Source organism: Homo sapiens, chromosome 2 (genome assembly GCF_000001405.40).
Source record: "Homo sapiens chromosome 2, GRCh38.p14 Primary Assembly".
NCBI classification, from domain to species: domain Eukaryota; kingdom Metazoa; phylum Chordata; class Mammalia; order Primates; family Hominidae; genus Homo; species Homo sapiens.
In genome coordinates, this window is record NC_000002.12 from 209,822,617 (window position 1) to 209,836,353 (window position 13,737).

A 13,737-nucleotide genomic window follows, 5' to 3' on the forward strand; every position below is an offset into this window, starting at 1 on the left:
CCAACTAAACTGATAGGTTTTGTATGTATGCTAAAGATCTCTGAGGTTTATAATTAGTGTTTTGTTTTCATTTTTGCTTTTCCTTTTTTAGCTTTGAAATTTTATCCAAGTGGCATTTTAACCACATTTTTATTGAAAACCTACAAGTATCTTGACTATTTAGCACCTAGGTATTATCTAGACTATATAGCTTGATGTAATAGATGTTATTTTGACCAGAGTTATCACTTTTGATCAGTATGGGATTTTTAAAGTCAGATTATGTGGTCTCCAATACAGCCACCAAGATAGATATGTTTTATAGTTAGTTACCAAAATAATATTCTTTTTAGTACAAATAATTTATAAAATAAAACCTGATGGTGGGTCAAATGCCTTCTTTCTGTGATTCACACTGGTTTGTTCTGCCCCAAACCCATCTGTTATCTTCAGTGGAATCAGAAGGTTTATCTAATTTTGCAACTTAGTAATAACAGAAGCATAGGAATTGATTAAGATAGAAAGGAAGATCTAATTTCCATTTCTATATTTGCCACAACTTGTACTGAGAGCTTGGAATGTTATTTAATATCTTCAATTTTTTTGCCTGTAAGTTGCTACATCTTTCTGAATGTCTCCTATGAAAGCAACCTGAATCCCAAGGACATCTGAAGGTCTAAAGAAATAAAAACCTGAATAGATATTTACAAAGAGCTTCCAGAGCTAGAAAAGTTTTAAAGGAGCTTATAATAATTTTAAAATATGTGTAAACCAGTCTTCCAAATAAGCCCTTGCTCAGGATGACCTTTTCTGAGGCACTGCTGCATAAGGCTTTGTAGCCTTTACAGAGCCCTCTACACAAAGGCCCTTGACGAAGGAAGCCAGTGAGGATTGAAATCCAGTCCAACCTCTGCTTTCGGAACCACTCACCAAAGGATTACTACCATTCAGAGGGTTCATCTTCTTCTAATTCTCCACCTAGAGGGGTGCCTTTTCTAATTTGCATAAAGGTGCTCCAGAGGAAAGCAGCGCCCCACACATAAAAATAATTAATTTTATCATTATTTTAATTAATAATTATTTTTGCTATTATTAATAATAATAATTAGTTTTTCTATTATTATATGCCTTTCATGTTTTGACTCTAATTCTCACAACTCTATGAAATAGATATTATGATTCCAATTTTGTAAGGCACAGGTAGGTTAAGTAGTTTGTCCAAGGTTATATAGTTAGTAAATGTTGAAGCTAAAATCGGAATTCAAACTAAAAATCCAAAAATCTGAAATCTAAAATGCTCCAAGATCTGAAACTTTTTGAGCTCCAACATGAAGCCACAAGTAGAAAATTCCATACCTGACCTCATGTGACAAGTCACAGATAAAATGCAGTCAAAACTTTATTTCATGCACAAAATTATTAAATTATATAAAATTATCTTCAGCTTGTGTATATAAGGCCTATGTGAAGCATACATGAATTTTGTGTTTAGACTTGGGTCCTATTCCCATCTCATTATATATATGCAAATATTCGAAAATCTGAAAAAATCTGAAATCCAAAATACTTCTAGTCCAAGCATTTTGAATAAGGATAGTCAACCTATATACATACAGTTCTGTTGATAAGTTTGAGTCTTCTGTTTGCAACCTTCTGAGCTGTCTTAAGTAGGGGTCCCTGGAAACAGGCTCCAATATGAAGATATGCGTGCAGGCAATTTACTGGAGTGTCTTCTCAGCATTAACCTCTGTTAGGTATGAAGAAGCAGCATGGGGCATAGGGAGAAATTGAACTGCAGTGTAGTTGTAATAGAGGCCTAAGCTAATCACAGAGGGCTTTGAAGCTGGGATGGCTCTTTAAGTAGTCCCCAGGTGAGGCAAAGAGACCTTTTTAGCAAACACACCCCAGGTCCCTTTATGGCCCTGTCCAGTCATTAGAGGTAGACTGCCTCCAGGAGGAGAGTATAATGTTGGGTGAGGCAGCTCTCTAGCTGTGGCCTTCAGAGGCACTCATCTGAGGGCAGTGAGCCATCAGCACTTGGAATAGCTCAGAGAATGAATGCTGCAGTGCCAAGGGGAATATCTGGAGTTCAGCACCACCTCCACTACAAGAGCTTACAGATAAGAAAAGGGGGACCAACTCGATAACATTAGGGGAGGAGAAAGTCAACCTTATCATAGTAAGGCCCATGCTAATGTATAGATAAGCCCCTATTCCTTCCATACCATGCGCACATTTGAGTACTTATATCTGGTTCCAAAGTTTATGCGTCAACCCAATCATGTGGCTATGGAAAAGTCCCTTACAATTTGCAGAACAATTCTCATCCATTATTTAATTTGCTCTGCATAGTAAACCTATGAAGTAGGAAGGGCAGCTATTAGAATCCTAAATTCACAGGTAAGGAAACAAAAACACAAAGAGATTAGTTAACTTATCTAACATCATATGTGGTTAAGGAACAGACACTGGAATCCCAGGTTTGTGGTGTGTGTGCTGATGGTGGAATGTGGTAGAAGGACTGAGACAGGCTGCAGCTTCCCAAAGAAAGTGACTCTTCCACACTGGGCTCTGCATCATTCCTTAGCAACTGCTTCCTTATGCTTCTTTGGAAATAATTCAAGGAAGTTCCTTTTTTGGAAGCCATGTTTTCCACTAACAACAAAGATTAAATTGGGCAAAAGATAGGATGATATCAATTCTCATGATTCATCTCAGGGGGCCTTCCTATTTAGCCTTAAGGGAAGAATCAAGCTGAACGTGTTTATAAAGTTCTGTATATTCTCACCTTGTTTGTGCATATGTATTATAATACAGTGAAAGTATACAATTAGAAATAAAAGCCCTCAAAAATGTCAGAAGTTGCCATGAAATTTCGAAGCTCCAGACTTTGATCAGTTGCAGAAACTTGGCAGTAATCCTTTCCTGGTGTATCAGAAGCCTACTGATGAGGGTAGTTTCTAATAAAACTTATTCGCTTTCATCACTGATAGTCTGCACTGTCTCTCTTTAGGTGGTTGTCTAACAGCAGTCAAGGATATAAAAGCATGTCTTCTAACAGAGAAGTCTATACTTATATTCTCTAGCAACAGAGGGTGTTCAAAATACGTAGATTTTTTTCTTTTAAATCATAGACTAAATTTTAGAAAACTGAGCGTGTTTGTTGAGCCCGTTACAATTCTGTTTTCCAAATTGCAGGTGCTCCCTGTAAAACATATAAACTTGATTTAATCATACAATAGAATCTTAGCAAAAGGACCTCAGTGACAAAGTAAACAGACTTTTCTTTCTTTCTCATTCGTGGGTACCAGGATGAAAGTACACCTGTAAGCAACCATAGGCTTGCTCTAACAATGCTCATCAAAATAGTGAAGTCTTTGGGATGTGCCTATGGTTGTGGTGAAGGACACCGAGGGCTCTCTGGAGATCGTCTGAGACACCAGGTATTCCGAGAGAATGTAAGAGAATTAAAGTAGATTCCATTTCCTCTCCCTCTTCCTTCCCTTCTGTTTAAGAATGAGTCCTTTGACAATGAGGGTCAGTGTTCCCTGAAAAATATTGTATTTTGTAGGAATAATTAATGCTGTTTTGGTGTGAGGAGATTCTCATGAGATATCTCAAGCCATCTAAAACCCAGGCTTAGGAAAGTTTAATTGGGAAAACATTTCTGCCTCCTGCCTAGGGCAGACCAACTCCCAATTAGTGAAAATATATATAATTGGAATGTGTGAATTGCAGCTTGAAAGAACTTTTGCACAGATGAATACATTTAGCAAGCTTTTGATGGCCTGTAACAAATGACTTTTTAATCATCTGCCTGGGTACTGTAGAAACATATTGCATATTGGAGAAAGGGGTCAAAGTTTTAGGACCTGGTTTGTTGTCCTGCCTAAGATATGGAAAATGGCCCTTATTGGGACAAAAGAGGACTGTAAAAGTAACCAGTCATTTTCTGGCTGCTTTATTTGAGAATGAACCTTGCCTTCTGAATATTTGAGATCATGTCCTTGTCAACTGTGTGAAACTTGAAACTCTGCATTTGGGCTTGCCAAACGTAATTCTGTACTGGAAATGGTCTTCCAGCTCATTTTTATTTGCCTCTGCTGACTGTTAATTTTCTTTTTCAATTTGAACAATAACCTACTTCCACAGTCTGAGCTGGGATGGTTGCTTCATATGTATGTTTGAATTGAAATCATACGAAAATATTCTCTTAAAAAAAAGGAGTTTGATGCAAAGTTGAGTTCCAGAAATCCTTTGGCATATCTTGACAGAGTTTTAGGGTCATGTCAAAATCTAATGCCAGCCCATTTTTCCTTGATATTAGGTTTTGTCATGAAATGTTCACACAGTATTAGCATGCTGGGTTTCTTGCTTAATGCATCATCTCTCATCTATCTATCTATCTATCCTTTTCTGTTTTGCTGTTTTATATTATATTGTGTTGCGTTATTTTAGTTTATTATGTTTATATGGGGGTTATATTTGCACTATTAGCTTCTAAATTTTGAAACTTGAAACTTTTGACCAAGATCTAGATTTTGAGGCCAAAATTTGAAAATAATAATTAATAAGGCTATAGAAAGCTGGCATCTCCCCCATCTTTGCACATGTGTATATGATTTTTTATCTTTGATTTTAAATTGTATTACAGTATGAATAAATGCCTTCAAAGACAAATAAACCACATCACTCCCCATGCAGAAGACCAATTTCATGACATGAAACACTAAAACATAATAAACAAACATAATAAAAAGCGTCATGCTTTAGTTGGAAGTATAAACTGGCTCCGATAACCAAGATTTGTCTTTCTGGATTCACAGAAAGCAGGGTGAGTTGGATCGGAAGCCATTTGAGGAGCTGTTGTTATCACTTAGTTCATCATACTTTCCTCCCCAGGAGCACCGAACACTTCCTATGAGGGCATCCAGCCAGTGTTCTGCCTGTCTAATCAATTTGACTTATGGGATAATTCCTCTATTATCTCCTTCTGTTTAATGCTCATTATTGATATTATATTTGCTTATTTAGTTCAGTAAACACATTGTCCAAGAGATATAAATATGGGAAATTTTCCTTGAGAAATATCCAGTTCCAGAAGCTAAACATTTTCAGATTTCTCTACCATTGGCCTTTCAGAAACTACTTAAAATACTAAGAATATTTCTCACCTTTACCAGACAAGGTCCTTTCCCTAGCCTTTTTTCTTCCAAGAAACAGAAGGTTATTCTAACGATATTTGTCAAACTGCCCAGCAATTTCATCATTTAATGCCTCAGCGTATCTTAGAGTATTAATCTAATCATTAGCTGGTAGTCTCCAATTATTGAAAAGGAATTCATTTCTTAAAAGTTTTATATCTTTTGAAGAAATTCAGGATATTCATTCAGAATTTAAGTATTTAAAGTTTGATATTCTTAGGCTTGCTTAAACTTCCCACTGAACTCATACAGATGATACAAACATTTTAATATCCTCTAAAGAGAAGATTTGAAATTATGCCTTTTTTGGTGTATTTTATAGAAAACACAGAATAATTTGTACTTCAGGACCTGCCAACTCAGGGTTTTAAAGAGCTTTATAAATGCTGCAATAAACATCTTCACAAATTCTTTATAGAATGACAATTAAATACTTCTTTATGCAAAATATATTTTACCTAAGTGCTTTGCAAACTTCATTTTATAGCTAGCAGCATTTATTTTGCAATAAAAATGAGTTTGTTCAATATCTGGAAACTTGTAAACTCCCTGGGAATAAAAATACCTAATTTCAAATCTAGGACATAATAAAGGAAAAATGAAAAATGTATCAATCCATCTGACTTTGCAATACAGATGGAGAGATTATAACAAAGTTATACCAAGAAGCCTATTGCTAATTCCAAGTTTCAGTCTTTTATAATCTTTTTTTTTTCTCTCTCAAAATTTCCAAGAATTTTTTCCTGGGCCTTGATTTGTCAAAATGATGATATAACTAAATTTTCTTCTGGGCCACAATTAAGGACACTAATACAATCCCAATTCTCAGGAATTGCCTTCCCTAATCTGACTTCAATGCCTGTGCCTGGTTGTCCAGAGTTCTTCATCCATAATTAAGGTGGCCCTCACTCAGCCACCCCTTCTTTCTTGATCCTTATCCCTTTTCCCCTCAACCCAGAGACTTCGGTCATTGTCCCATTTCATTCCACTGTATAGACATTCTTTTGTCTCTTTTATTCAGATATAGTGTGGCATGCATCTTCCCATTGCACACAAAGCCTTTGAGGTTTTCTAAACATGGATTGTCAATTCTATCACTTATCTAAATTTCAAACTTTTTTTTTCATTAAGATCTTAAAATCTCTATCTTGGTGAAAATACTGAACTCTTTCTGAGACCAGCATTAGACCTTAGCTTTGAGCTTTGGGGTTTTTCCTATGGAGCAGTTGTTCTCAATGTAAACACCCTCAGACTTCTCAGTCTGTCTGTGCTCACATCTTACTCAGACAAGAGGGGCTAGCAGGGTTGCCTGTCACCAGCGAGTGGGGATGGTTGGAAACCCTTGCCTTCTGAAGGCTTCTGTCTCAGACTACCAGTATCCATAGCTTAAGCTGGTACTTGTGACTTTTTCACTTTTCTTCCTTCATTGCAGGCCCAGAACTGCCTCACTAAGCTATACAAGCTAGATAAGATGCAGTTCCGACAAACCATGAGGGACTATGTGAACAAGGACTCTCTCAATAATGTAGTGGACTTCTTGCATGCTTTGCTAGGATTTTGTATGGAGCCGGTCACTGACAGTAAGTAAAGCTGCACCCAAGTTCTAGGAGAAGTCGTTGTGAGGTGAATCAGGTAGTGTTTCAAGGGGACACTAAATTTGTGGAGGTAGAATTTAGAGGAAAAGATACGTATGTGTCCATGCATGTGTGTGGGTGTGTGTATAGAGTATAAACAAGAAAAGCTTGCACATTATCTCTGATGACACATTTTGGAGGCTTTCTGAGGACAACTTACCACAGTAAATGAAAGTTTGGTAAAGCTTGTGGAGTTCTCACCTAGCCCTTCAATTTTTATACTACCACTTATGGGACTCCTCTCTCTCATATAACATTCTGTTATATGACCTCTGAGGCAGTGATCATGTTCATTAGTTCAACGGATGTGAAATGAGTATCTATAACGTACAGGCATTATAGTGGCACAGTGCCTGACAATTTTTTCACAAAGTAAAATGGGAGAAAAAACCTTACGATTGCAGTAAACATAGTAGTAACACAATTTTGACACACACATACTTAATTTTTTTTAAAAAGGCAAATGGATGCACAGATAAACCTACAAGCTATTTTATAACTTAATGGCTTTCAGAAAACTCTAGTATGAAGGCCTAAGTTACAGGGGGAGACCAATAAGTGTTAACTGCATTTATAGTAAACCAAAGACTGGCAGTCCAGTGTGAATGCAAATGCAGCAATGCAAGGAAAATAATGCATGAAGCCTGAGTTGAATAAAATACACATTTTAATTAGAGTCTGGGAAGGATAGCTTTGTAGTATAGGCTTTTATTGTTTATATAACAAATGTATGATCACAGTTGATTAGTTTATAATGAAAATATATTTGCTAGATTTAGAAGCAGTTTTCCTGGTTGTAACCCAGGAATATTGTTTGGTTTCACATTAAAATAAAATATTGCTCCTCTATAGAACCCCTCAAACAATCTATTAGCAGAGTTGTTTTAAACCAAACACAATATAAATTAAAAAGACAATAAATTAGGATGGCAGTTGAGACAATGCTAGAGAAATTCTTGATTGCAAATGATTTTTTTCTCCTTTTTAAACTATTTGAGATAGAAATTATAAGCATAGACTAACAGAAATCTTTCATCAATGTGAAATCTAGAGATCATCCCCTGTCAATTGGCATAGACAGTGAGAGGTTGGTAATAAAGTATATTACTTTAAGGTGATAAATTCCTCCTGCGTTGCTTGAGATGTGGGAGTGGATCACAGTGAATCAGCCAGGCAGACATAGGTCCCCATCTGGTGAATATTGGAGCTGCCCATGCCCTTTGTCACATTTCACAGGTAGTTCACAGGCCATGAGAAATCCTCTGGCACGGGCACAGGATACCTATGAAAGATCCAGTTTTCTGTGAAAAACTGGCATAAAATGCCACGGAGGTCGAAGGCTTCCATTCACGGGCATTTCACATGTGTGTGAGCAAGAAGGAGGTGGCTCTGAGGAAGAGGGGAGGTTTCCCCTCTCCACCTGCCCAAGAAATTTCTGGGAGAACTCTGCAGTTCTTGGCAGGACTCTGTCTTTCCCAGGGCCTTTGAGAGCTTCCCTGCAGGGCTCCTGCCTGACTCTTTCTTCTCCCTTCCCAGCTACCTGGTTGGCCCCACCTTATTCCACTTTAGACAGACTGAACAATTTCCTTTGAGAAAGTAGCATTTCTCACCACCAGAAAGCTTGAAAATGAATTCTCCATTGAGGGGTTATTTAGGAGCTTTTTTTTTTTCTTTTTTTTTCTGTAAGTGATCACCTATTTAAAAACTACTCTAAGCCTAAAAATCTTTCCTAAACTTAAGAGTTGGTTTCCTTTCCTTTGCTAAGATTTATCAATAAAACCATTCCGGAAATGCAATTGGTTTTATCACAGTAAAGGCTCTGAAGGAGACTATGACTCATTCATTTCCACATCTGCCTAGAGATTATTAAACCTGGGGCATCTTTAATTCCTTGTTTCTGTATTTCACATAGCACTTCACTAATTCCTGGGTGCCAAGTACTGCCTTACTCCTACCCATTGTGTAGCTTAAAGGAAACATTGTCTTTAATTTGTGCCTTTGCATTCCAGACAAGGCTGGGTTTGGAAATAACTTCACCACAGTGGACAACAAATCCACAGCCCAAAATGTGGAAGGCATTATCGTCAGCGCCATGTTTAAATCCCTCATCACACGCTGCGCTTCAACCACACATGAATTGCACAGCCCTGAGAATCTGGTGAGAAGCTCTCCTCTCTTCCCACAGGAGCTCTCAGTCTCTGCCCTGAGAAAAGTACTCATTGTCGTGGCCATGAGTAAGAGAAGCTGAAATCTAAAAGTCTACACTTTAAAGTTTAAATATCTATTTTCCCCGGTGTCACCAGTAAGTCATAATGGAGCCTTAACAACACTTTTCTTCTCCTTGTTACTCATTATCCTATTTGCAAATTCAGCTATCTTCCTCTCCCATCTCAAAGGTTATAGAGTGTTTGGTGAAATAATTGTAAAGTATGCTGAGCCCTTCAGAAAGTTTCTAGAGCACAGCTTGTTGGCTCGTAAAATACTAAAGAATGTTATCCCAAGTATTATTTGAAGCCATATTTACTTTAAAAATTAATGCAAATATGTTGCTGAAATTGGTTTTGTTTTCTTTTATTAAGTACTGTCTGTAATCTTTTAGCTACTTGTCTTGAAAGACTGTTAATTAAACCACTGAAGTCACAATAGGATAGGGAAGAACCAGGTTATAAAAGGCTAGTGCTAAAGGCATTAAGAATGACACAGTAGACTTTGAGGACTCAGGGGGAGGGTGGAAAGGAGTTGAGGGATAAAAGACCACAAATCGAGTTCAGTGTATACTGCTTGGGGGATGGGTGCACTAAAATCTCACAAATTACCGCTAACGAACTTACTCATGTAACCAAATATCATCTGTTCCCCAAAACCTATAGAAATAAAAAAATTAAAAGGCTAGTGCTTAATTACCACCAAGAAGATTGTGGTTTTGGATACGAAAATGTAGATTAAGGCTGAAAAATCTAACATGAATAGGTGAATTCAGGTATCTTTGGGAGGCAAAGAAGCATTTCTCTATCCTACCAGTCTGTTAGATATTATGACTCCTATGCGGAAATCATTCCATTTGCACATGTGGACCCTATCAGCTAATGTACTCAAATCAAGGAAATTATTTTAAGCTATTATAACTATTGAAACAATTCACTTAACTTGAGATAAAATCCCAAACTAAAGGAGTTGAACTTTGCTGACAGCCAAAGCCAACCCAGCAATTTTCTTGGAGCTTGAGTGTAGCACAGGTACCATCCATGCATACAATTTGGTCATAGCAAAAGTAATTTAACAGGTTGGTTATAATATACACGACTGCTTATACATCTTTTTTTACAAACTCATGTATAGAAAAATACTATATTAAAAAAGAAATCTTGAGTTTGACTTTGAACTCCCATCCCATAAGAACAGTGGGACATCAAACTTCTGTCATTTTTGGGGTTCCCCACTTCACAGTGTTGTGTAAAGACCCCCAAGTCTTAGGAAGCATCTAGAGCCTGGGGAGGTTCCACAGGTCTCAATGATTAGCCTACACCTCTGATTTCACATAGTACTCTTTGCTGTGTGCTTAGGGCTGGGCACTCTCTGGTGAGTTTGGAATCTTTCCTTTTTGGAGTCTTGCCCCATTCCTAGAGGAACTACTGCAGAGCAGAGTGAGGGGCACAGCGCCCTGCTTCCCACAGAACCCAAAGCGTTCTCCATCCGTGTTTTCTCCAAGGGTCCTACCTTCTACTTTCCTAAAAATTATGGACATAATTGTCCCAGTGGTCTCAGGTTTTGAAAACCAAAACTATGAAGGTAAGTGTTCTTTAGGCTTCTGCATTCTGCCTTGCCATGAACTTTTCCTAAGGCAAAAAAAAAAAAAAAAAAAATACAGTAACTACCTTCTTCATGAGCAGAGAGAGAGGGGAAATGCTGGATCCAAAGCTTAATTTCTCAAGTAAAAGTCCAGCATATATTTTTAAATATTGATTCACCAATATATTGGTTTTAATAGCCCTACGTCACCTTCAGTTTGTAGTCGAGTTCATGTTCAAATGGGCTACAACATATATGTACTTTGCTAAATCTGTCCAGCAAAACACATCATCCTTTGAATAATCTGTCTTTGGTAGAAGTGTCTGGAGGACTTAACATATTTTGTCATAATGTTGCAGAAAATTTGGAGAAGCTGAACAGGGACCAAAATCTCTAATGTAAACAAATTTTTGACTACCTTTTTCTTTGCAGGCATCTCTTCAGAAGTTACAATTAAAAGAGAAAATTAAAGCTTGGGCATCCAATAGTTTAAAATGTAAATTAATGTCTTTCTAATGATGCAGCCAACTTTCTGAATGAAGCACGATAACCATCCTTTTTTATACCAAGGATGACCAGCAAAGGCCTTGGTAATGTTCTTCTATAGGAACATTGTAGAGGGAGTATACCACCAGTTTCATCAATAGTAAACTGTCCTGTCTTAATGATTCCAATGCTCATCTAAGCCTAAGGAATTACTTTCTTCCTCTCTACCTGGAAAAACTATTTAATCACACAGCTATCTTTCTTTCTCCAACTTCCTTCTTGCCTCCAAACAGGGACTGTATTGTGACATTCGTCAGCTGGTCCAGTTTATCAAAGAGGCTCATGGGAATGTCTTCAGGAGAGTGGCCCTCAGCGCTCTGCTTGACAGTGCCGAGAAGTTAGCACCAGGGAAAAAGGTGGAGGAGAATGAACAGGAATCTAAGCCTGCAGGCAGTAAAAGGTTGGAAGCTTGAACTCTCTGAATATTACTGTTTGCCTTAAGTCAGTAGAATAAAATCTGTTGTACTGTTTGTGTGGTTCCTGTGCTGAAATGTCAGCATAGGAATGGTAAAATTATCTTGCGTAAGTGGTTTCACTGGTGTGGTGTAGCTGCAGCTTAGAAAATGAATGAATTTACTGTCAAATAAATGCTGCCTCTAATATGAATTAGAGCTCAGTTGTTCTTAAATTTTCTTGTACTTGAACTACACGTCATAGCTCTTAATTAAATGGTAAAACGCTACCTGTTTTAGTCTCTTCTGTACATAATTTACACTTTTATTCAGAAAGGCAAAGCAATTACTGATGCCATATGATCCTGTTCAGTAAATTCTACTCTAAATGTGGTAAAAGACAAATGATTAAGTAATAGCCTGTTGTTTTTCCTTCTAGTAAACATATATTTATTTTATGCCTATTGTATATTAAATGCCACTTAAAAATTAAAATAAACTCCTAAACTTAAAATCCTGCTTGCAGTTAATGACTCTGTTTGCAATAATGGTGATATTGTGAAGCAAAAAGGCTGCTAAGTCATGAGTTAATGGTGCGGTATAAATTCTAAACAACATAGACTCCTGGTGACATAAAGTTCACAAGCTGCAAAGTTGTCTACAACAGAGTGTTTTGTTTTATGAAGTGTATGAAGTATTAAGACTTGCTATCCTGCTCTGCTGTAATTGTTGGAATGCACCATTTGCATAGGTCAGAGGCGGGAAGCATTGTGGATAAAGGCCAGGTATCCTCTGCACCTGAGGAATGTCGCAGCTTCATGTCTGGTCGCCCCTCACAGACTCCAGAGCAGTAAGTAGCGTTGGTTTTGTCTCCAGTGCAGACGGCTATGCACTTCACTCTGGAAGAATTTCTATTTTCCAAACTGCTATTTGTTTGTTTTTCATCTCCTTTGAATTTTGCCTTGTTTCTACCCTTTACATTTCATTCCCAATGCCACTAACTCTCCAGGCCAAATCACAAATAACCAGTCTGTGCCTATGAGAAGCCTCCCTAACTACATTTCCCATCTCCAGTCTCTCCCTCACTTCTGCTTTTCATGCACACTACTGAAGATACACCTTGAAAAATGGCATATATACCAGGTGGGCTGGGAGTGTCCTCCAGTTTCTTGCTTAAAATCACTTATAATTTTTTAAAAACTTAAATGTATGAATGGCTGTCAATATACTTAATGAAGCTTTTCCCAAAATAAGTATCAAAAACTTCTCCAGTTCTCACCTTTAGCTGAAACATAGACTGTACCACATTGTACCTTGGTCCTCTCTTGAGATCCATTCCAGTGTCCTCCGACATCAGTTAATCTACACTTTTCATAATGGAAAAATCAAAAACATCTTTAAATTAGTGCCCCCAGAAAATATAAGGGTTATCATAGACACTAATTGTACAGCCTAGTTCTATGCAAGTTTTATTTGTATTTTTTCTCTTTTTGAGAACTACTAATCCACAAGTGGAGTGTAAACATGTACTTCGTTTTAGGTATACCATTCTGCTTCCCCAAACCTTACTCAGTATTAAGTGATTTTTCTTCCAGGAATCCTGCAGAATATTCTAGGTATTATGGTATCCTTTCTTCACAGTCAGGGAAATCAAAGTGAGAAGCACACAGCTATCAGATAGGACCTTGGTAATTCATAGCAAGCGAACAAAATCTTCAAAGAAAAAATGCCCACAGAGTTCTTGTAGCACTTCAAAATCTTAGAAATTTTGTAGTAAACACAAATTTGTGATAAACACAATTTTGTGTTTATTTAGTGTTCAAGTAGATCAATTCCATGGGCTCAGGGAACATGTGAGTTTTTGCATATGGCTATAGCCCCAGTATGGAGACTAGGCTTGCTCATACTAGGCACTTAATCTATATTTCATGAATGAATGAATGATTCAATCAATCAATGAAAGGATAAAAGTGTCAGATTATTATTAAGCTTTTGTTTTCTTTAGCTTCCTTTCTTAAAATTCAGTTTTAGTTTTCCCTTTAAGGTAGTCTTTAAGTACATTTAAGTAAAAATTCAAACATAAGCTCTAAGGAAAAATAATCAACGTGAAAGACAAAGTTCTGTGACTAGCCATGAGACTAGTTAAAAGGCTTTATACTCAGAAAGTCTGCCCAAAAAAGAAGAGATTTTTTT

General features: G+C 37.2%; 1 protein-coding gene across 3 annotated transcripts in view; it reads left to right on the forward strand.

The window, feature by feature from the left end:
• The window catches only part of UNC80 (unc-80 subunit of NALCN channel complex), a 227,465-nt gene that overhangs the window by 50,785 nt on the left and 162,943 nt on the right, over positions 1-13,737 (forward strand). For 2 of the 3 annotated variants that reach the window (NM_032504.2, NM_001371986.1), the window contains exons 14-18: positions 3,291-3,437; positions 6,616-6,763; positions 8,827-8,975; positions 11,386-11,552; positions 12,296-12,394. In NM_032504.2, the coding sequence (NP_115893.1) occupies positions 3,291-3,437; positions 6,616-6,763; positions 8,827-8,975; positions 11,386-11,552; positions 12,296-12,394 (710 nt within the window). The remainder of the gene's footprint in view (positions 1-3,290; positions 3,438-6,615; positions 6,764-8,826; positions 8,976-11,385; positions 11,553-12,295; positions 12,395-13,737) is intronic. The other variant, NM_182587.4, reaches the window with a different exon arrangement.